The sequence below is a fragment of the Homo sapiens genome, chromosome 12 (assembly GCF_000001405.40).
Source record: "Homo sapiens chromosome 12, GRCh38.p14 Primary Assembly".
NCBI classification, from domain to species: Eukaryota; Metazoa; Chordata; class Mammalia; order Primates; family Hominidae; genus Homo; species Homo sapiens.
This window is the reverse complement of record NC_000012.12, coordinates 90,951,474-90,976,217: the sequence shown is the minus strand read 5'-3', so window position 1 is coordinate 90,976,217 and position 24,744 is coordinate 90,951,474. Positions and strand designations below refer to the sequence as shown.

General features: G+C 36.4%; 2 protein-coding genes across 4 annotated transcripts in view, besides 1 other annotated feature; both read left to right on the top strand.

Annotated features, from left to right (window-relative positions):
- The window catches only part of EPYC (epiphycan), a 41,291-nt gene extending 28,755 nt beyond the window's left edge, over positions 1 to 12,536 (top strand). For both annotated transcript variants that reach the window (NM_004950.5, XM_011538008.2), the window contains 4 exons: positions 3,238 to 3,396; positions 4,216 to 4,418; positions 6,079 to 6,174; positions 11,892 to 12,536. In NM_004950.5, the coding sequence (NP_004941.2) occupies positions 3,238 to 3,396; positions 4,216 to 4,418; positions 6,079 to 6,174; positions 11,892 to 12,062 (629 nt within the window). In that variant the 3' untranslated portion in view covers positions 12,063 to 12,536. The remainder of the gene's footprint in view (positions 1 to 3,237; positions 3,397 to 4,215; positions 4,419 to 6,078; positions 6,175 to 11,891) is intronic.
- An 8,505-nt stretch (positions 12,537 to 21,041) lies between these two features.
- On the top strand, positions 21,042 to 24,003 carry CCER1 (coiled-coil glutamate rich protein 1). Of its 2 annotated transcripts, NR_130711.2 has the most exons (2): positions 21,042 to 21,095; positions 23,299 to 24,003. NR_130711.2 is itself a non-coding variant. In NM_152638.4 (1 exon), exon 1 carries the CDS (start codon positions 21,476 to 21,478, stop codon positions 22,694 to 22,696), a length of 1,221 nt encoding a protein of 406 aa, NP_689851.1. In that variant the 5' UTR covers positions 21,042 to 21,475; the 3' UTR covers positions 22,697 to 24,003. The 2 variants fall into 2 exon arrangements, 1 of the variants encoding a protein (NP_689851.1); NM_152638.4 differs by having other exon boundaries at positions 21,042 to 24,003.
- Positions 22,034 to 22,133: an enhancer, noted in NCBI's record as "active region_6716". NCBI's record gives its function as "activates an Ori minimal core promoter by ATAC-STARR-seq in GM12878 lymphoblastoid cells {active_cell/tissue: GM12878}" and the evidence as "EXISTENCE:reporter gene assay evidence [ECO:0000049][PMID:35858748]".
- Positions 24,004 to 24,744: the final 741 nt, after the last annotated feature.

Here is a 24,744-nt window from a genome sequence, read left to right as displayed (position 1 = left end):
AACTGAAATTTTATACCCCTTGAACAACTCCCCATTTCCTGAGGCTCTGATAACCACCATTTTACTCTTTGCCTCTTTGAGTTTTTAACTGTTCTTCAATAAGTAATATGAAAAGTTGCCCTTTCATCCCATGCCTTCTATATGCCAGACACTTGAATTGTTTTATCTACATTAACTTTTTGAAGAGTCAAAACACTATGTACTAGGCACTGATTACCCATTTTTAAAAATAAGAAAACTAAAACTCTGACATACTATAAAATGTGTCCAGTAACACAGAGGTGATATGTGGAATGCAACATAGACCAATAAATCCTGTCAGTGTCATTAATGAATATATTATATTCTTTCTGTGTAGTTAAATTTCTGTGTAGCAGAACACTCTACAAGTAGAAAAAGGAAGAGACACAATGAGAAGAAAATGTAAATATCCAGCATAAAGCACCCAAAATAGGAAAATTAAATATCCCTAGAACATTACTTATATTTAAATGATTTCAGATCCTTCAAAAGTTGACCAATCTTGTATCAGTACCTGTATGTTGGATCTCTCAGCTTAGCCAGAAACAACAGAAAAGCAGAATGCCCAATCCTTTCAAAAGCTTGAGTCAAGTAATGCTTCACTAATGTCAATTTAGAAACATAACAAAAACTAAGACTTTTAAAGAAAATTTTTGTTTCTAAAGTACTCTGAGGATAAAAAAGTTAAAAACTCAAACTCACTTTTTAATTTCCAAAGAAGAGGCACACATTCATCAAAATTAGTTTAGAAATATTTAGAATATTAAAAATAAAAATACCATATTTTTACTACTAAAACAAATTTCTAAAGATAACATTCTAAAACCGTGTAATATAGCCTTGAGTTAGGTGTAGAAAAACTTAGAATTAAAATATAACTACTGCGAATATATATAAATTACCCTAAGCAATCATTGCTTAATTATCAAGGTGATAAATATATAGAAGAATCAAATGCCTTAACTCTTAAAATTTTTATGAGTAGAAAATATTAATTTATAATGATTGGAGAAATTAGCACGTATTAAATATTTTACAGCTCCTGCTTAAACATTTTTTCCTGGCTTTCCATTCTTAAAATGGAAATGACTTTTGTATTTAATGATAGTAATAAGACCTTAATGGGTACATTATTAGTTCTTGATTACAAACCACAAACAGACCTTTCAACTAGGTTGATCAAATATCCTGGTTTGTCTGGGTGTGATGAGTTCCCAACACAAGTGTCTTTCAATGTTATAAACATGAAAGTCTCAGGTAAACTAAGACAAATTGATCACTGAGAAATTTCAGGACATTTCTTCCACCACTTTTCTCTTCTAGTTTATGTCATAGAGATTTCACTTTCTCCATTCATTCCACAGCTTACAATCCTTATTTACCTCATCCCTAGACCCCTCAAGGCTGTCAGATAACTTAACTTCCTACTTCACAAAGAAAATGCAATTTCTCAGTCAGCAGCTCCTTGGTCTTCCTGTTTCCAGACAAATAATCTACCTACATCTATATCAATGTGCTCTTCTATCTCCCTCTCCTTCTAGCACAACAAAGACACTCTGTCCTTCCACAAGTGGGATGAAAATCTTTCCATGTTCTTTGAGTTCTATTTCCTACTGTCCTCTCATGATCCTTTTTATATTCAAATTCACCTCCTCTGGATCTTTTTCTCCAAATTCCTTCCATGTTAATCACTCCCTTCATCAAACAAACCCCAAGCATATTTTATTATAGATATCACTATGTCTCATCCCTTGCTCTTCACAAACCTCTCAGCATTTTCAACATTTGTGGCAACTTTTCCCTTACTTCCAACTTCTCCCTTAATGGACTGTAATCTGGCTTTCAGCTCCCTCACTTTGCAAATCTTGTAAATGCTCTGATAACCACTGCAATAACTAATCCAAGAACATTTTTCAGTCCTTAACTTACCTGACATCTCAGGAGGCTTAGGTTGTTGATTATTTCCTTTCCCTTAAAACTCTCTCCCCACATGGCCTCCATGACATTGCCCTATCCTGATTCTCCTCCTTTCCTCTGATCATTAATTCTCCATCTCCTTTAGAAGTTTACTGTCCTCTCCATGATCACTAAACAGAAAATGAAGAAGGGGTGGAGAGGTAGGGGTGTGTGTGTGTGTGTGTGTGTGTGTGTGTGTGTGAGTGTGTGTAAGACAGAAAAGAAAAATCAGTATGTCAAGATAAAACCCAGCCTCAGAAACATTTTTGGTTCCATTGCCTCCTCTAATTGTTACCATCTTTTGTCTACACTATGATTCACTTCCACTTTTTCCAGTTGCCCTGCTTCAGTCTTCCATTACATCTTCCAGCAGACTTAACTCTTACCATGCAAACCGCATCGTATGATACCTCTGCCCATCCTTATGGGAAGGAATAAAAGCTGTAGCACAGCCTACAAGGCCCCTGCATGTTATGTCCCATACATTCCAATGCTCTCTGAGTTTTAACCATATGGACTATCCTTCAGTCCCTCCAAAGTGAAGGCATATGCTGCTTCCTCTGCCTGGCATACCATTCCTGTCCTACCTGCATAGTCAATTATTCCTCTTCTGCTGATCTCAGCTCAGCTTTCACTTCAGAGATGCCTTCCATGACTTCCAGACTAGGTCAAATCCCCCTATGTTATGTTCAGATGACACTTCATGACATTTATCACATTCATAATTTCATTTGTGTGATTAACATTCATTTCACAAAGCAGATCATAAAACACAACTGTGTTCTTTGTGCTCACCACTGTTTCACCAGCTACCATGGTGCCATTTACATAGAAAGGATTCAATAATATGTATTGAGCAACTGAATATTAATAATTATTATCTTTTATTTTTCTTGAAGCAAGTGTTGTTTTAGTGAAATGTTTCATTATTAAACCAAAGACTTAATGAAAATATTACATGTGATATTTTAACTTTATGAAAAGCACAATAATAATGTTTAAATTTTGAATATAGAATTTCTAATAGAAAAGTACTAATTTTAAATTATTTTTAAAATGTTACATTGAATATACTAATTGTTGAGACAATTTTAATTGGTATGCTTGACTTGAATATTCTATTTACAGAAAGCATTACGAGAAAATATAAAATCTACTTGGTTAGTGGGAGACTCTAATCTTGTGTATCAAACATTCCACATTATTTCTTAGAAATTGATTTGGTACTTACATTTAATTTTATTTTCCTTTATCTTTTAGACTTTCCAACCTGTCTTTTGTGTACTTGTATAAGTACCACCGTGTACTGTGATGACCATGAACTTGATGCTATTCCTCCGCTGCCAAAGAACACCGCTTATTTCTATTCCCGCTTTAACAGAATTAAAAAGATCAACAAAAATGACTTTGCAAGCCTAAGTATGGATGACAGCATTAACGGCCTTCACCGCTTTACACACTTCCTTTAAATTTTTACATTGTTAAATGTTAGCACTGAGAATGAAACTTGAATGCCAAAGCCTGGTTCATGAATCAATAGTTTTTTGTTATTTAAAAATTTGAGAGTTTGCTTTAACAATTATAAGAAAAACAACAAATAAGCAATGGTCATTTCAAAACCATATAGGTGATGTTTTCAAATGAGCAATTTAAACTAAATATGCATAATAAATAATTATATTGTACATGCTGGAATGTTTTATCATATTATGACATTATGAGTAAAATATTGTGGTCATATTTATGAGGAGTTGGCTTTTTAAAAATAAACTTCCACTAAAGCATAGTTGCTTTATGATGGATGAATGTAAGCCTAAATTCTGACTTTAAAGTTGTTGCCAACTTAGAAGAATTTTGGTATGTGTTGTCATAAAGTGTTTTAATCATTTGAAGATTTCTTTCTAATGCCTGTATCTTTGACTATTAGAAAACACAACAGTCTTTATCATTGAGGGAAACATTTTAAATGACAAAATCCAGACAAACTTTATGAAGATTATGGAGAGAAGACCAGTTATTTTAAACGTGGTGTACCAATTTCTTTGCTAAAGTTATACTCCTAAGTACATAAATATGAATAGTATTTGGAGGAAATAATTTTTTATAAAAAGAAAGATAATCATCTCATTAACTGTGCATTGCTAAATTTATATTTGCAAAATAAAGGAAAATTACATTTATATTTTTATGTGAGCAAAACAAGAATATTTAATTACTTCCTTTATTTTTTTCTGCTAGGTGATTTAAAAAGGATTGATCTGACATCAAATTTAATATCTGAGATTGATGAAGATGCATTCCGAAAACTGCCTCAACTTCGAGAGCTTGTCCTGCGTGACAACAAAATAAGGCAGCTCCCAGAATTGCCAACCACTTTGACATTTATTGATATTAGCAACAATAGACTTGGAAGGAAAGGGATAAAGCAAGAAGCATTTAAAGTAAGTTTTAAGTTTGATATGCAGACTTTTATCTTCCAATTTTATTTGCTGTCATTGACTACCTTTTTTATTCGTGTAGGGAAAATAAATTTATTTATTTATTTATTTATTTATTTATTTATTTATTGAGATAGGGTCTCACTCTGTCACCCAGGCTTGAGTGCAGTGGTGCGATCACAGCCCACTGCAGCTTCGACCTCCCTGGGCTCAGATGATCCTCCTGCCTCAGCCTCCCAAGTAGCTGGGACTACAAGATGCGTGTCACCATGCCTGGCTAAATTTTGTATATTTTTGTAGAGACATGGTTTCGCCATATTTCCTAGGCTGGTGTCGAACTCCTGGGCTCCAGTGATCCTCCCGCTTCGGCCTCCCAAAGTACTGGGATTATAGGTGTGAGTCACTATGCTCAACTTCTATAAGGGGATTTAATTTAGTGAGACTTTTAACTTTCAAGATAAACTTCCCAACTGCATCTGTCATGCTTCTGAGAAACACCATATTCTGGTACATTGTGAGGGTGATCAAGTACCAAAAACAGAAAGCAGGGCCAGAATAAGAAGTTGGTGGCTACCTGAAGCACCATCTACAGAAGCACCATCTACAGGAGCACCTGGAAGTGGTACAAGCCAGAGAATCTGTATTGATCAGACCCTACACTCAGAAAGACTATCTGGCTAAAAGGATAGCTACTTGGCAGGGAATGGGCAGTGTCTTGAAGACAGAAGGCTACTAAATGACCTTATAAAGAGGATGGATTCAGTTAGCCTTAGAGATTTTGTTTTCTATGTGAAGCAAGCAGGTTTGGGGCTAGAGGACTTGCTTTGAAAAACAGCATAGGGTCTGAGAACAGTAACCAACTGGCTTTCTTGCCTCCTCTTATGGCATTCAAGCAGCCCCTCTCAGTGTACACTGAACATGTAATTGTAAAATACTCTTTAGAGAGACACCACAGTATTCTCAGGGATGGCACAGGGGATAGTGTGGCCTCATAACCACTGGGTGGTGGCAAATGCCCTGTCTCTCTGCTAGGCCTCCAGTGATACCATCAATGGTAGCTATGGGAGTTAGGGCATCTCACTATAGCCAGGCAAGGGTCATAGTCTAGTCTGCCCACTCTGCCTGTGTTGGCACAGGTGGTGATGAGTCACAGTTTATTCTAGGGTGTTTGGCTAGAGTAGAACAGCTATTGTCTAAATGTTTTTTGTCTTGCTAGGCTGCCCTTTTCTGGTAGTTGGGCTACCAGGCCATTGCTGGGGAGGAACTCTTTGTTTCCATGCCTATAAAATAAAGGAAATGCTTGCTATGCCTCATCAAAATCCTCAAAATCCCACTGCAGAATGCCTTTCATAGGAAGAAGCAGCCTTGCTTAAATTGAGAAAGTCAGACTGAACAAAACATGGTTCTTCCTAGAGACTGAGAAACACATTGTATTTTTATGAAGAAATATTTGCTTGTAGCCAATTTTTCCAAAACTCATCTGAATTGTCTAGTAACTCAGAAAACTAAGCTGCCTCAACTTTACAAAACAAGACCTGAACTGGAACATGCTATTTTACAAATATCTGCATGTAGAGGGAATGGGAAATACAGCTGTGTTTTTTATTTCTTATTGAGTTTTTATTGAGTTTTTATTGAGTTCCCACATTTGGAATGTTTACAGGACATGTATGATCTCCATCATCTGTACCTCACTGATAACAACTTGGACCACATCCCTCTGCCACTCCCAGAAAATCTACGAGCCCTTCACCTCCAGGTAGGAGTCTACCAGTAAGGTGCGCCCAAGGGCTTCAGAGAAAGCAAAGCCAAAAAGGACATCAGGACACAAGAATTTGTCTGTAATGGCATGTTGACACACTGTGATAACTTTTCTTCTTTTTCTCTTTTCTCATTTATTCTCTCTCTTTATCTGAGTACAAAGCTATCTTTATACATTCATAGCTCTATCTATTCTAATTGAATTCTGATAACTTTACTCTTTTTCTTATTTTCCAAGGCAAAATGCATCCTTTTGGTACACAAATCTTCTTTAGAAAAAAAACCACTGAAAGTTTCACGTGTTGAAGAAAATGAAAAGATTAGAAGTGGAAAAGAAAAGGGAGAAATAAAAATCTAACTTGACATTTAGCTGTCAGGGGAAAAAAAAAACATCAGTTTCAGCCTGTGATTTTAGGTTTTATGTATTGAATTAAATTCAGTCCTAAGGCATTCCTATGTGCTGAGAGATGGCAAGCTCCATCTCTCTGGATAAACAAAGTGCAGGTTTTTTTTTTTTTAAACACCATATTTGAAAGTTTTGGTTATTTTAAAGCCCATTAAGCTACATGTTATCTTTGAAGTATTCAGTTTGATTAGTTTAATGAATGAATAATATTTTATTTTCACCTATGTGATTAAAAAATTGTTCAATCATAATGAATATTTTTGGTTGTTAAATATAAATTATTTCTTATTTCAGTTGTAAATTTTAGTTTGTAGCTATAATCAACATTCTCTAATCAATTGATCTGTTCTATGGAATAAATATATAGAGAAAACACCCATTTCATGCTCAAAGAAACAACATTATAGTTTAACATTATCTTTTATGGCAGAAAATGTACAAAAAGTGATTTTGCTATTTAAGAGCTGGACATGAATTCCTGTGTTTCCCCTTGTGGATTTTGTGAATATTTACCTTTGTGCCTTTTCTTTTTTTCCTATTAATATAAATATTTTCATATTTTTGGTGTCTACATATATATAAATATATATCTCTATACATATATGTATATACACACACTATATATATATATATGTATATATGTCTGTGTCTTGGATATCTGTCTCTTTTGTAGGTTTGTCTGATTTGTTTACTTGCCTATTGTATATGTATTTTCTAGCCATTTGGTTTGATTTCTGGATGGCTCTCTCTTTTTTTCTGGGGGTGAATTTCTATGCATATAAAGATGTCTTTCCTTGTTTATGACTGAAGGAAAGATTTCCAAGGGAGTACTTAGAGATTTTAGAATGTGTTTTCCAATTATGAATTAAATTTTATTACTATTATCTGGGGTGATATTGATTCTACCAATAAAACAAGTCTTTGATGTTATATTTAAACATAATTAGTTTGTATATATAATATGAGGGAATTTTTTAAAGTAACAGCTTTTACATTCCCATTCTAAGCTTTGAAAGTCAATAAGTGCAACTTAAAATTTTTTTCTCCGTCACTGTCAGCTCACAACATCCAATATATATATGTCTGTTTTTAGCTTACATTGTCTTCAACTTCTGTATTTTTAATACATAAATAAATCCCCTTTTTTATTCATTTGGAAAATGTTTGCCAACATGTAGTATAGCAGTTAAAACTGAAGGCTCTGGCAAAAGCATATGCCTTGGGCTGAAATTCTAGACCCAAAACTATCTGAAACTCCCTGCATTTCTGATTTCTCATGTGGATTAAAAGGTGATCTTCTATACAGGATGGCTGGGAGGATGAATGAAACAATGTTTATAAAGCATTTAATATAGCTACTGATATATGATAAATACTTAAATGTAAGTCACAGTTATTAACAACACATATCTATCACATATCAAAGGGAATAGCAGAGTTAATAGGCACAAAACATGTATTATTCCTCATTGACACTTTATAATGATAAGAGGGTTAATACATCAGGGTCAATACATACATGATTATAAACATATATGCATCTAACAACAGAGGCCCAAAATACATGAGGCAAAAACTATCAGAAATGAAAGGAGAAATAGGCAGTTCAATAGTAATGAAGTATTCCATCTTCTTATTTTTATTTTTTAATTTTAATTTTTTTTTATAGAAAGGGTCTTGCTCTGTCACCCAGGCTAGAATGCAGTAGTATGATCATAGCTTACCACAGCCTCAAACACCTGGGCTCAAGCAATTTTCCACCCTAGTCTCCCAAGTAGCTAGAACTTTAGGTGTGAACCATCATGCCTGGCTACTTTTTAAATTTTTTAGAGACCAGGTCTCACCATGTTGCCCAGGCTGGTCTTGAACTCCTGGCCTCAAGTGATCCTCCTGAATTGGCCTCCCAAAGTGCTGGGATTACTGGCATGAGCCACCGCACCTGGCCTTGCTTCAATAATGGATAGAACAACTATCTATAAGATCACTAAGTAAATAGAAAACTTGGACAACACTGAAAACCAATTTGGCATAACAGTCATCGACAGAACATTCCACCCAACAATTTCAAAATACACATTTTTCTCAAGTGCACAAGGAACATTTCCCAGGTAGACCACATACTAGGCCACAAAACAAGTATTAGTAAATTGAAAATAATTAAAATTATACAAAGTATGTTTTCTGATTCCAATGAAATTGCATTAGAAATCAACAAAAAATAAAATTTAAGAAATTCACAAATACGTGGATATGAAACAAAATTTTTCTTAATCACTAATGGGCCAAAATAGAAATCTCAAGAAAGTTAAAAAAAATCAGAGATAAATAAAAACAAAAATAAAACACATTGAAATGTATGGGATGGAGCTAAAGCAGCACTTAAAGGGAAATTTTCAGCTGTAAATACGTATATTAAAAAAGAAGATCTCAAATCTATAACCTAGCCTTCTACCTTAAGATAATTGAAAAAGTAGAGGAAACTAACCCAAAGCAAGCAGAATAGAAATAATAAAAATTAAAGCAGAATAAGTAAAATATATAATAGAAAAATAATGGAGAAACAAAACTAACATTTGTTTCTTTAAAAGATCAACAAATTGACATATTTTTAGCTGATGTGACCTAGGAAAAAAGTCACAAATTACTAAAATCAGGAATAAGAAAGGGGACATTACTACCAAACTTACAGGAATAAGAAGGATCATAAGGATTACTATAACAACTGTAAACCAACAAATTAGATTAAATGAACAGATTTCTAGAAAAATGCAAGCTATTGAAATTGACTAAAGAATGGATAATCTGAATAGAGCTATAATAAGCAAATATATTAACTTAGCAATTTAATATCTTCCAAAAAAGACAACCCACTCCCACATGGATTTACTCGTTAACTTTATCAAACATTTAAAGAAGAATTCATAACAATCTTTCACAAACTATTTCAAATAACAACAAAAAAGAGAACATTTCCTTCCTAACCCATTCTGTGAAGCCAATATTACCCAATAACAGTACTCGACAAATATATCACCAGAAAATGAAACTACAGGCCAATATCCTTTATAAATATTGATGCAAATCGCCTCAACAAAACACAACAAACGGAATTCACCAACATATAGAAAAGATTACACATCACGACCAAATGGGATTGCAGAAATATAAGAATAGTTTAACATTTAAAAATCAACCAATGTAATATATTAATAGAATAAAGGGCTTAAAACCATATGATTATTTCAATAGATGTCAAGAAAAGCATTTGACAAAATCCAACACCATTTTATTATAATATTACTAAAAAAGTAAAACTAGGAATAGAAGGAACTTCTTCAATCCAATAAAGAACATCTATAAATAACTCAGGCTAACATCATCTTCAATGGAGAAAGACTGAACACTTTCTTTCTAAGAACAGAAACAAGACTAAAATTGTTTGTCTCACCACTTCTATTCAGTATTGAGCCTGGCAGTTATAGCTAGGACTATTAGGAAAAATAAATACATAAAATATAGTAAATAAATAGTTTCCAAATTGGAAATAAGGTCATTCTTCTATTTTCAGATGACATAATCTTGCATATAAAAAATATTAAGGAATCCACTAAAAACTAGTTGAACTAATAAATGAGTTCAGCAATGTGGCAGGTTACAAAATCAATATACAAATATCAATTGTATGCAGGATATCTATACACTAGCAATGAACAATCTGAAAAAAAATTAAGAAAACAATCCTGTTTATAATAGTCACAAAATTTTAAAGGTATCTAAAAGAAATTTAACAAAGGCAGTACAAGCTCTGTATACTTAAAGCTACAACACATTGTTGAAATTAAGATCTAAATAAAGAAAACATAATTCCATATTCATGAATCAGAAGACTTACGACTAAGGTGGAAATGGTCCCCAAATTAATCTATAAATCTTAGGTATAGAAAATTCTAAGGAATCCACTAAAGTATTTGAACTAATAAATAAGTTCAGCAATGTTATAGGTTATAAAATCAATATAAACTATCAATTATGTTTCAATACACTAACAATGAACAAAAACACAGTGAGATACCAACTCATACTCACTTATTTGGCTAAAATAAAAGAGACAATTAGAAGCATTGGTTAAGATGCAGACAAAATTGTAACCCTCATACATTGTTGGTAGAAGTGTAAAATGGTGCACCTACTTTGGAAAACGGTCTGACAGTTCCTCAAAATAAAACATGAAGTTACTATATGACTCAGCAATTCAACATCTAAGTATATACCCAAAAGAACTGAAAGCGTATGTACATACAAAACTTTTACACAAATGTTAACAGAAGTATATTCATAAGAGGCATAATTTGGATTTGGAAATAATTCAAATTTCCATTAATTGATGAATAAACAAAAATGTGGTATATCAATACAGTGAAATAGTATTGGACAACAAAAAAGAATGAAGTACCAATACATCCTACAACATGTATGAACTTTGAAAACACAATACTAAGCGAAAGAACTCAGTACCAAAAAATTTATATATAATTCTACTTACGTGAAATGTCCAGATAGGAAAATCTATATAAAAAGAAAATAGATTAGCAGTTGCTGGGGTGGGAGGAGGGGAATGTGTGGTTTTCTTTTGGGGGTGTTGAAAATGCTTTAAAATTAGACAGATGGTTGCAAAGCTCTGTTAATACACTATAAAACACTGAACTGTACCATTTAAGTGGGTGAATTTTATGGTATGTGAGATACAGTAAATAAACCTAGGTTTAAAAATCCAGTCCTGGGCCCTGCTTATCTTCCGGATATTTGCTCCCTCCTTCCTTCCCCTCACTTCAGCCACATTGACTTGAATGTCGAATGTTGAGGGAGGAGCATTCCATGTTGATTCCTCAGGACTCTAAACCTGATGTTCTCTGTGCCTAGAATGTTCTTCCCTTGTTTTTTTTCCATGCCTTTTTCTTCTTGTCAATCCATTCTCAGTTCAATTGTTACCTCTAAAGATAACTTTTCATAGTCATCCTATTTTCTTCACAATACTCATCATTTTTGGAAATAACTTGTTTTTCTTTCAGTAGTTTTCTCACCTCAAATTGTATTTCTCTTACTGAAGTATAAGCTCCTTAAAAACAGGAGCATGTCTATTTCCTAATTTACCCCCATTGCTTAGAAAGTGCTTGGCATATACATTAAGTAATTTTGATTGAGGAAAATAACAAAAGAATAAAAACAAGGGTGAAGCACAGTGGACTGCGCTATCAATCAATACTAAGAATGTGTTATATCTTGTCATAATTTATTTTCATCTTTTTTAGAATAACAACATTCTGGAAATGCACGAAGATACGTTCTGCAATGTTAAAAATTTGACTTATATTCGTAAGGCACTAGAGGACATTCGATTGGATGGAAACCCTATTAATCTCAGCAAAACTCCTCAAGCATACATGTGTCTACCTCGTCTGCCTGTTGGGAGCCTTGTCTAATTTCAGATAATGGTTAGCATTACGATGGCTACTATAAATAAACCATTCTTACTGCTCTCTTCCAAAACAAAACTCAGCATGATACTTTGAGATTGTGTTCTGAGAGATGATATGACTACATAAAATACAATTAAAAATGTTATAATGAAAATGTAGTAATTTAAGAAAACACCAGATGAGTTAGGAATAAACCTATAACATTTACAAAAAGAGCAAAACTAAGTGATAGAAAATATTTCACACATGTTCTTATAGATCATGTATCACTTGCAAGTTTTAGGAGTTCATATCCTATATCATTTCAAATTAAGTACATAATAAAGTAAAATTTTGAAATGAACACTTTAGGTATTTTTGCCAAGATTTAGATGTTTTTAATTAAACTTTTCTCTTCCTTTTTTTTTCACTAAAGCATGTTTATTCCCCTAATCCATTAAAGAGCATGAAAAAAAGAATAAATGTATTTGAAAATTATAATGGCCTTGTGAAATAGTCATTATAATGACACCATGCAAATAATCATATCCAACAATAATACACATAACCTGCAGTTTTTGAATTATAACTTTTTATTATTTTAAAGAGCTGACAACTCATTTTAGATCTTCGATAAACTGATTAGTTATGTAGTGTATTTCTGTGTGCCTGTAAGAAAAATAAAATATAGAAAATGGAAAGAAGATGATATGATAATCATATTAGGGAAGAAGTAATACTTTCTAAGGAGAGTTCGTCTTTCTAAAATGTATAATCATAATACAGGCACATACATGGTTCAAAACTGAAAGACAATAAAAGAGTATTCAATGAAAGGTAAGTTTCCTTCCAGCTGCAACACCTCCAGGTCTACTCCTCAGAAATAATGTTTTCTTGCATAATTTTATAAAGATTTCCACAAGAAACAAAAACTTGCATATAAGTAACTTTTTCTTTTTTACACAAATACATATGTGTACATGCTACATGTGCATTTCACCAGAATGTGTGTATTTATACATAAAATATGCATTTTTAAGTACAGAAGATAAACACTATTCTGAACTTTGCTTGTTTAATTTAAAATTATTGCTGGATGATCATTCCATATCAGCACATATAGCTGTACTGATTCTGAAAACCACATATCAGTCCATCACATGGATGTACATTTTTTTCATTTACACCAAACTGCAAAGAATACCCTTGCTTGAACATGAATAAGTTTGTATACATGTGAGAGTACATGTATTGATAAAATCATGCAAGTAGAATTCTGGGTCAAAGATTATTATTTTGAATTTTAATAAACATTACTAAATTGCCCTTCAAAGACAGTGTAACCACTTAAACTTTCACCAACAGTGTGGGAAAGTACATAATTCTCTAGAACTTTACTAAGATGGTTTAGTATCAAATCTTTTCATCACTTCATAGCCTATTTCTGAATTAACATATTAAAAAAGAGACAATTAATTGTTTTGTAGTATATTAACAGAGCTTTGCAACCATCTGTCTAATTTTAATCCAGGTAACCTCCATATGATCTTAAAAAAGGCCAACTGGTTTGGTGCTTTAATCTGCTTTTTTTTTTTTTTTTTTTTTTTTGAGACGGACTCTCGCTCTGTGGCCAGGCTGGAGTGCAGTGGCGTGATTTCGGCTCACTGCAACTTATGCCTCCCGGGTTCAGGCGATTCTCCTGCCTCGGCCTCTCAAGTAACTGGGACTACAAGTGCGTGCCACCACACCCAGCTATTTTTTTGTATTTTTAGTAGAGACGGGGTTTCACTACGTTGGCCAGGATGGTCTCAATCTCCTGAAGTCGTGATCTGCATGCCTTGGCCTCCCAAAGTGTTGGGATTAAAGGCATGAGCCACTGCGCCGTGACCTGTAATTGTATTTTAACAGTACCTAGAAGAATGTTTGAATAACCAGAAGGCAGGAATCTCAGAGACCTATCTTTAAAATTCTACCTAACACAATCTCCAAATCCTAGTAGTATAAGCAAGTGGTGATGCACCATAGATAATGACCTTCTTTCTCTACTCTTAAATCCTCCTAGAAACACATAAAAAAATAGTGATGATAGTAGTGGGAATAATAAGGAAACAGTAACATTTAATGAAAGCCTTTTATTATTGTTTCTCTGGGATGGAATAGTCATCCTTTGATGATGTCTCTATGTGGACAAAGAAATATACAATGTCACTGACTTTTCAATTTCTGCTGTGCCAATGAGGTAGACAAGTGGATGATTTGGTTTTGATTCTCTTGTTATAGTTTAAGAAAAAGAATTGCAATGATTCTTTGAAAAATTTAGTTATTTTAAACATGTAGACATATTTTTAGCCAAAACTATCTTCTAATGTTACTTTTGCTTGCCTTTGTGGGAAATATAAATGAAAGTAATAAGGGCGAAAGAAAAATCATTTGCTATATCTTATTGTGTACGCATTTTAATGAGGTTAAATGATTAACACTGTCAGTGGACAAACTTGTAGCTCCCAGAGTGTCCATACAATCACAGGACAACTTTGCACAACTCTTACTAAAATAGAAATAAGAGCTATACAACATCACTGCTATAAAATAGAAGGAGCCATATAACAGTATACTTTAGAGGATAGTGTCAGAAAATCATTTTTAGGCCTGGCGTTTAACTTTGAAGCATACTAAATGTTGTTTTAAAGTTAATTCATGTATACACACATTGTTATAATAGCAACCAGCTATTGGATACAAACTATGTGCCAGGCATCTACTAAGGTTTTCAGCATGTATTAATTCACAATATCCTAGGAGCTGGAGATAATCACTATTCCAAGTCACAAATCAGAGAAGAGAGCTTAAATAACTTGGCCTGGATCCACAGCCGACTCCTAAATCCTGTGCCATTTGACTCCATTGTTGCACCTAAAGTACCACAGATATGACTTTTTCCAGTTTTATAAAATAAAGAAAATGGTGTACAGGCTGGACAAAGATGCAAAGATCAGCACCGGCTTTTCGTATGCAACAGTGACTTCCCACTGGTCTAGTGCCTTATTTCAAGCACCGTGGAGGGACCATTTACCGAGGCCAGAGTAGTCCTCCAGATACCTGGCCTCTGGAAAATCAGCAAAAAGATGGACTGAGATACTTAGTGCCATCAGGGTAAGTGGAGACTCCCAGCAGACAGTACTGACTTATTCATTAGGTACAGTCGGCACAGTGCCCACAGCTTGCAAGAGCCTTCAGAACATATGAAAATATTTAGTTTCTTTTAAAATAAAGAGAATGTGGTAATAATAATATATGTGCAATAATCAGTCAAACCTGGATTACATTCTTTTCTGTAGCAACAAGCCATAAAATAGAGTTTAATTAATTTTTTATGAAGAAAGGGGTCCATGGAAGTCTTAATGAGGTCCTGCCTACAAGAACATTATTGATGATAACAGATCTCCCCCCACAAATGTCATAGAATAACTTTCTGTCCTCACAGCCTACTCAGCATACAATTATTACAGAATATGGGGGAAGAAGAGATTTTAGCAAGAAATAAAATGAAATAAATAAAATACTGGGATAAAAAGGGCAATATTATACAAATGTTATGGTGCTAACCGACATTCTCACAGGCATTATGACTGCCTACTGACAAGGTGGCTTTGCAGATGTAGTTTGACATGAACTCTAGAAGGACAAAGTGTTCACTATAACTCTTAAATTGTGATGATAATATTTTAGTGATCCTGCTAAATGTATCATATTTAAGTGGCCATTTCAAATACCTCATATTCTTATCTGAAAACTCTAAATTTAAAACTGACTTCTGATTAAAACACAACGTATATTTTTAAGCATCAAATTGTTTTTTTTCCTATTCAGTTGTTATATATGTTTATTTTTCTCTAAATATTACAGGTTATTTGCCAAGAAAAAAATGAATACTGCATCCTACTGCCCCATAATACTTTATACTTTAAAACTACTTATAAGCAAACATGACCAGGCTAACAATTCCTATCTAAGTATTTCTGAGTGCCCAGGTTTTTCAGATGTGATAACTACAATATGTTGTGCTAATCCTCTGAAAATCTTGAATTGTTATAGGATCAATAATAATTTCAAGAGGTGGTAGCAAATAATATCTACACATAGTACTACGATTTGTAAAACTGGCATTTCTTATTTCTCTGAATCTATAGAAACATTGTCATCACAAAGTTAACTCCCTCTTCAAAATTTGCTTAAAATGACTCGAGGATTCATAAATGGAAAAAACCACAATGGTGTTCCCTGATGCACAACACACCTCAAAAATCTGCAAACTAACCCCAAAACTTCCCAAATTATTAAGAGAAAGCAATATGCCCTTTGAATCTCTATCTCAGCTTTGAAAAGCTAGAAAGGCTTAATACTTTGTACTTAGCCTTTGTGACCACAAGATGGCGTTGACCCTTTGGTTTTAAAATCCTGCTGCGTGGATGTCTGCAGTAGGAAAAGGCAAGCCTGACAGAACATGTATTTTTAAGCATCAAATTGCTATTTTTTACTATTCAATTGCCATATATGTTTATTTTTCTTTAAATATTACAGGTTATTTGCCAAGAAAAAATGAGCACTGCATCCTACTGCCCCAGAATACATTATACTTTAAAACTACTTATAGGCAAGCATGCATTCTATTTATTTTTGTATCACATAGCACTGTATTAGTGACATAGATGGATCTAAAAAATATTTGTTGAATTTCATTTATCTGACTGGATCGGGCATATCTAACTTTTCTCTGAAGAATTTTATTTACAAGTTTAATTGGCAGAGGTTTGCTTTTTCAAAGCCAATTGAAAAATGCTGAAGTATAATAAAAACACCCAATTCTACGACAAGAATAAAAGGTAATTAATACTGCAACCTGGAATTGTTTAAAAATGGAATTCATGATAAAACACAAAAATGAGTTGTTTACTTGTCAGTTTGTTTTGTATAGGAATTGTTGCTGACTGTATTTTGAATGAGCTACTACTGCCATCAAGTGTTAGAATTCTTCAAGTCACAAAAATGCACAAAAACCAACACCAAAATTGCAGTATGTTTTCAACTTAAAAACATAATGCTCTGCACAACATAAAACATAGCAGAGCCTACGCCATCATACGGCACTTATTACAATTTGAAAAAGGCCAACAGTGTCATTAAAATCTTCCAAATAAAGTAGCAACAAGTGAGTATGAACAACATATTTGACTCAATTTACTTTACATATGTGGGAAACTGATGGTAAGATTGTCTGCCTCCTGGTCTCCTGGTGTTCACACCTTTGTGTAATACCCACTCCCCCAACCCCTCCACACGGCGTGTCCACGGGGACCTGGGCCTTGCTTCTAACCCACAGACTATGGCAAAGGTGATGGAAAACCCAGGATTATGTTAAGGCAAGAATGTCAAGGCCAGGATTATCATAAACAGCCACACACTTTCACACACACACACACGTGTATATGTCTGTATTTACATCTGTAACTTTCCATCTTGCTAGGAGAAACTATGGAGATTTTCTTTGCCAGTTAGATGATGTGAGCAGCCCCGTTGAGGAAGCCCACAGTTCTTGCTTTGGGCAGTGTCTAAGAACCGCCCTTAGCCCCTAGGACTAGTGGGTGGCCTCAAGTCCTAAAGCTGGGCTCCAGCCAACAGAGAGCTAAAAGGCAGGGCCATCAGTCTTACAGCCATGGGGAATAAATTCTGCCAATGCCATAAATGATCTTAGGAGTGAATTTTTCTGAATTGAGCACATCAGTGAGAACTCAAACCATTCAAAATCTTAATTACAGCCTGTAGCAGTCTGTTCTCATGCTGCTAATGAAGACATACCCGAAACGGCACAATTTATAAAGAAAAAGAGGTTTAATGGACTCACAGTTCTACTTGGCTGGGGAGGCCTCACACTCATGGCAGAAGGTAAAGGAGGAGCAAAATCACGTCTTACGTGGTGGCAGGCAAGACAGAATGTGAAGCAAGAGAAAGGTGTTTCCCCTTAGAAAACCATCAGATCTCGTGAGACTTATTCACTACCACGAGAACAGTATGGGGAAACCACCCCCATGATTCAATTATCTCCCACTGGCTCCTTCCCACAACATGTGGGAATTATGGGAGCTACAATTCAAGATGAGATTTGGGTAGGGACACAGCCAAACCATATCACAGCCTGTTGCACCCATGGACAAAGGGCCCACTAAGATATTCCTGGACCCCTGATTCCTGAAAACCTTGAGATAATAAATGTATATTGTTTTAAGTAACCAAGGTTGTGATCATTTGTTATGCAGCAACAGAAAGCTAATACAATATTCAACAACAGGATGAATGTGTTATATTTCAATATTGAATCAGAATATTTCATTTCATGGTATTGAAAGAATATGGGTCAATTAAAAATGTGTCCTTACATTGGTCAACAGGTACAAAGTTACAGGTAGGGAGAAGGAGTAAGTTTTGGTGTTCTAATGCACATCAAGGTGACTACAATGAACACCAATGTATTGTGTATTTCAAAATAGCTATAAGAGAGGATTTTAAATTCTCACCACAATTAAACGACAAATACTTGAATATACTAATTAGCCTAATTTGATCATTTCATAAAGTATATATGTATGGAAATATCACATGGTGCCATATATATATACAATAATTTGTCACTAAAAAAAGAACTATAAAAGTGTCTTTAAAAATTAATTAAATGTCTGACTTTTTGTTTAACATGCTTTAGTGGTAAATTTTCTTGGATGATTTACCAGTACATTCAAAACTTGTATTATAATTCCAATCTCTGTAAAATTAAAATCATAATCAAAATAATAAATTGCTGCTTCTCTTAAGAAAATTCGGGCAAGCCAATAACGTGTCAATGTTGTTCAGTAGGGAGAATAAATATTCTCACCATGCAAAAAGTATATAATGCCAAGATTAACTGTATAAAGGTCACATCAACTGATCAAAAAATGATGTCCTTAATTACCTGTAAAATGAGTTAACCATCTCTTTTAAAACAAAAAGAAACTGATTGGAATTTCAACACAGCAACATGGTCCATCTGTAATGCTCTCAATTAAAACCCATTTTTGCATAACACACGTCCTTAGAAAAAAATAAAACTGGGCTCTCACCATTCCATTTTGAGTACACAGAGCAGGGTCAGAATAACTGCCAAAGGTGAGTCCATATCTAGAAAGGGATACTGCAGGCTAAACATGTCAGCATTCTGTACTTTGAGTCAAGCAGGGGTGTCCTCAGCAAACCACAGAGCAAATGAAATTAAATGAAGCCTGTGGATTCTACAGGTCTCAGGGCAAATGTTGGAGTCCTGATCCAAGACCCCCTATAATGTTCTCAATTTTCAGCCAGGAATGCATAAATGACCTTTGCCAGCTTCAGGGCTTTCACACATTTTGCTTTTCTGGCATTTAATGGAGCCTTATATAGACTGAAGTTCCCAGCAGGCAGTTTTCCATTTTGTGCAATTCCACTCAGCACAGAAAAGTAAGAAAGGGATATAAACTGAGACGGTTTTCTCTAGGACCAAGTATGGTAGCACTTTCCTTGACGTTTTACAAAGAAGGACAAGAAAAGGACACAAGCCAGGGTGGGGATGCCTATTTTTGCATCAAGAACAAGTGCCTTTACATATACTATATCATCTCTTTTAGAAGTCATGAAGTATTTACAAATAAGGATGATAGTTAACAGTTACTGAGTACTTACAGGGTACCTGCACTAAGTACTTGAAGGAATTACAGTAAGTCCTCACTTAGCATCATAGGTTCTTGGAAACTGCTACTTTTAAATGAGAAGACATATAATGAAACGTGGTTTTGTTATTGTTGTTGTTTTGCCTCAGCAACGTTATAAGGAAATGACATTGAGCAAAACATTAATATTAGAGGACCTGTTATATGCATTTAATTCTTTACACAACCGTATGGAAAAGGTAGTATAATCATGGTATGGGTAAGGAAACTGAGGCTTACAGAGATTAATAATTGGTGAGTTGAAGTTGAATCCCATTTATTTAAATTAAAACCCATATGCTTAACCACAATGCTTTAAAGGCTTCCCGTGTATATGCTGTATGGTCAGTGAAGGGACAAAAGGAAAGACAATCAGAATATTCCTCTTCCCAAGGACAAACCTGTGGTATTCATTATGGTAATAATAATATTTGTTTAATTGAGGTACACATGTACGGTATATTACCAATAGCAAAGTACCTTCCCAAATGTTATGTCATTTAGTTATCACAAGGGTCCTACTGGGGGTTTGGTAGAACACATAGCAATGTCATTAGGAACCTAACTTTTGGGTCAAACAGGTTTAGGCTTAAATCGTAGCCTGGAAATTTATTAGCCCCACAACCATGGGGAAATTAAGCTCTCAGTTCCCTCATCTGTGACAGGTGATAAGATACGCCTACCTCTCAGGGTAGATGACAGGATTATTTGTCAGTGAGCACATGCAATAATAAATGTTCGTGGTCTTGTTTTATGTATTATGAATCCCAATTCTCAGGAGTAAGAAGAGTTGGCACCGGCCAGAAGGTAAGAGGTTGGGCAAAGTTTCCTTTCTCCAGTAATTTTCCATGATCCCTTAGGCCCTCCAAAGGTGTAGAATGTGGGGTTTTCAAAACTCAAGTTCTCCCGCCCCCACCGGGTTCAGATGAAGGCCCATCTTCTAAACCCCCGCCTCAAGGTGATACAAAGCTTTCGGATAAACTGCCTCCAGACTTGCTTGAATTGAGCAGCAGAAACCCAGCCTGGACCCCTCTTCACCTCCCCCAAACGCTGCGTCACAAGCCCCCTGCGAATGTTCACCTGGAGCCTGGTTCCGGACAGAACCCGGCCTTGCACACAGGGAGGACGATTTCGACCCCAATTGGCTGTTGCCCTGGGTGACCAAGAACGCAGTGGGCACGCGGGAGACCACAGCCAGTATTTAAAGGCTGCCGCTGCCCTCGCCACCACAGTCCTGCCAGGACGGCGACAGTGAAGCACCTGGGTTGAGAGGGAGCAGCAGGTAACTGCGCAACCCCTGCCTCCCCCGGCCCCAGCCCGTGCCTCAGCAGAGCCGGGTGTGGTGGGGACCCGGGAGTGGGTCTCACTGCGTGTCGCCTGCCAACACCTTCCTCCCCCACCATCCTTACCCAGCCCCAGTCCCACCCAGCACACCTGGGCGAGACAACCCAGGTGCGAAGGACAAGCGATTACTACCGAAGAGCGTGCAAACCAGGAAGAGAGCAGCCTCCTGGAGAGGAAAACGTGATCCCAGGGGTAGACACGTGGCGCTGCGTGGAGAGACAGGTTGACGAGACGAGGCTCTTCTGACCGTCCTACCTGGCAAAACTTGACGACAGCTTCAGGTCGCTACCATCTGGACCTCTCGGAGCTCCCTGAACCATGACTCAGACCCTCGACACAAGGGAAGACCCTCTGAACCTGGGCGGCGGTGGCGGCGGCGGCTGTGGCTGTGGCTGGGCACACTCGGCCTCCTTGAGCTCCTGGTCGTCCTGCCATCGAAGGCGCCCGGGTGCTCCAGCGTACAATAGACCGCACCGATATAGCCCCAAGACCGAGTATGGGCCCCCAAGGAAGCAGCCGAAGCAACAGCACGGCCCGGGCTTTTGGTTCCAACCACCCGTGTGCTCTAACTGGGGGTGCTGGGGAGGGCCCTGGCGCCCACCCCCTCCAGGATTCTGGAAATTCCCCTGCCCGGTGCAAGTGTTTCGGGTGTATGGCCTGCACCCTCTCTGCTTTTGCTGCTGCTCCTGCTGGAGCGGGTCCTGGAACCCTGGCTGGGTGAAGCCCCCAGGCAGGAAGAAGCGCTGGGGCCGCAGAGGCCGCGGCCTGCGCCACCACCCTCGCCACTCCTACCCGCGGAGCCCGCCAGCGGATGTGAGCACGCTGCCGCGGCCGGTCAAGCTGTATGAGTGGAGAGAGCCTGGCATGCGAGCGCCGCCCAACACCACCCAATTCATCATGAACCAGATCTACGAGGACATGAGGCAGCAGGAGAAGGTGGAGCGTCAGCAGGAGGCGCTGCGGGCGCAGAAGGCCACGGTGAGCGGCGAGGCCTCCCCAGCCAGATCCTCCGGAAACGACGCGCCCCCTGGCGGCAGCAAGGAAACCTGGGGACTGCAGGAAACTCTGTATGGCTTTGTGCAGAATCCCTCTCTAGCATTCAGTCCCAACCCAGAGGAAAACCAGTCTCTTGCCCCGCTGCTGGTGGAAGAAGAGGAGGAGAAGAAAAATGATGATGAGGAGGAGTATGACCAGGAGGTGTGTGATGCAAAGGAGGCGAGCGAGGAGGAAGAAGAGGTCGAAGATGAGGAGGAAGAGGTCGAAGATGAGGAGGAAGAAGAGGTCGAAGAGGCTGAATATGTGGAGGAGGGAGAGGAGGAGCTGGAAGAGGAGGAGCTGGAAGAGGAAGAGGAGGTCCTGGAGGAGAACGAGCAGAGAGGGGAAGAATTTCACTTGCCTCTGGAAATGCCTTTATCAATCTTCGTAGAGGCTGAAGAAAAGAGAGAGAACTTTATAAGCTGCACTTTTTTAAACCCAGAGCAGATAATTCCCAAAGTGCCACAGGAATCCCTGTTCATGGCACAGGACTTTAACTGTTAGACATCAGAAAAGGGATTGAGAAAAGGGATGGAACTGATTTGAGGCTAAACTGGATTAGCAATTTATTAAAAACTGATTAAAAAGTGAGTTCCATTAATAAACAGATCTATGTAAACACCTTCTTTGGCCATTATAAAATGTTTAAAATTTGATGCGTATGTGTATGACTATGGGTGGGTGGTGGGGAAGCTTTCAAATATAATTTTACTGGAACTGATTAAAGGCCAAGTATTTTATTACTACCATTTGAATATTTTCATTTGGTGTTTTCCCCTCTAGAAAACAGAGTTGCTGTTGTTTTTTTAAATCTGGCAATGCTGAAAAAGCGTTTGTTTTTGAAACAAATTTATACAACTTGGCCACTTAATGAGCTTGGAATCAAGAGATAGTTTATTACATGCGTAAGAAGCACATTCTAACGCTACTAAATGTTCACCAGTGCTCTTAACATAACTGAAGCCATTTTCAATCCCTGTATTTTTTCAACAATATTTTTCCTCATAGATTTTTCCACCATCAGAGTTCATTTTTGAGGGTTATATTTTGTTAACCTCATTTGCAGGCTCTTGTGTCATCGCTTATTGATATTCCTTGTTCCACAGTGCTATGGATCTTCCTCAGAAGAACATGAAGTTGCTTCTGTGGAACTGGTTATCTGCCATGGCCTCAACAATCCATAATCCAGTCATGGAGAGGATTCCCCATGGTCAGAAGTCAACTTGCACATCTAGTTAAAGTCCAAGGTAACTGCAAACAGTGGAACATGGCTTAGGTTTTGAAGCCTCGTTATTGGATATAGTCTTTATCCTAAGTTCTGAGGAGCCATAAAAATAGTTTTCCAGAATGGATTTTTTTTTTTAGATAAAAAGATTATCTACCTTTTGGGGGTGGAATATCTTATTTTGTTTTTGAATTTGTCTTTGTTATAAAGAAGAGTAAAACAAAGATGTGTAAGTGTGAGTCTGTGTGAGCTAGTTTCTGATGTCTAAACAGCAATTACCTATGGAGAATACATCATTCAAAGTAATAGCTTTTGTTCAAACATTTTTAGGAAGTAATAATACATTTCTTCCTGGACAGTTGATAAAAGTTCCATCCATAGCATATTTCCAGAATATCCCTAGATGATGAATTTAAACATGCCTTCTCAGAAATTAAATCTTTTGACTTTGAACCACAAGTTAGCATTTATTTGTTGAAGAGAAGAATGTGTGGTGATGTCTTACCTGAATGTTGGTTGTTACTGATATATTACAATTTTCAAGGTGATAAGCTTGAGCTATTAAATAATAAAAAGTATTAAAGTACCTTGCCTCTCATTTCTCATTATTGAAATATCACAAATCCATGCAGCAATGCTTCAGTGGCCAAAAGGATGAATAGAAGAAAGGGGGAAAAAACTTAGGAATTTTAAAATTACACCAAACATTCCAAATTGCAGTGGTGAATAACCAAAACTCTAAGATATCATTACTTTCTACAAGATGCAATTTCTGAATGACCTATAAAATTAAAAGTAGCCATCCCTATGTGTTTTACTGTTCTAATATATATAAGTAGAGGGAAATCAAGAATCCAGCTCCTGAAGCTAGGTAATAAATCCATGCAAGTCATAGCCCATAAATACTTTACTGATGACACTTAATCAAAAGGTCAAAGTTAAGTATGTTCTCACTGGAGAAGCCTTTTTTCATTTAGGATTGAATTTATTTACAATCCCATCTGGACATTTCTCTATTTCTTCCTGCAAAATATTTTAAATTTAAGAATTCACCACATATTAATTGCCTTCATATGCAAAGATGTTATTCACTAGTTATTTTAAGGGATGTAAACATGTGCAATGCCTCAGGAGTCTACATTCTTGTGCATGAACCATTATTCAGCAAATATTGAACTACTGGGGGCCAAGCACTGTGAACAGTGATAAGAATACAATGGTGAATAAGCAAAACCCCATTCTGACATTGTTATTGTTTAGTAGAAAAGTCAGACATTAAATGAGTTAGATGGATTGCTCATTGCAAGTGGTCTGAAGGAAATGTACC

What these genes read in the sequence shown, in the direction of transcription:
- CCER1 (NM_152638.4), top strand. Translation starts at nt 21,476, where the DNA reads ATGACTCAGACCCTCGACACAAGGGAAGACCCTCTGAACCTGGGCGGC.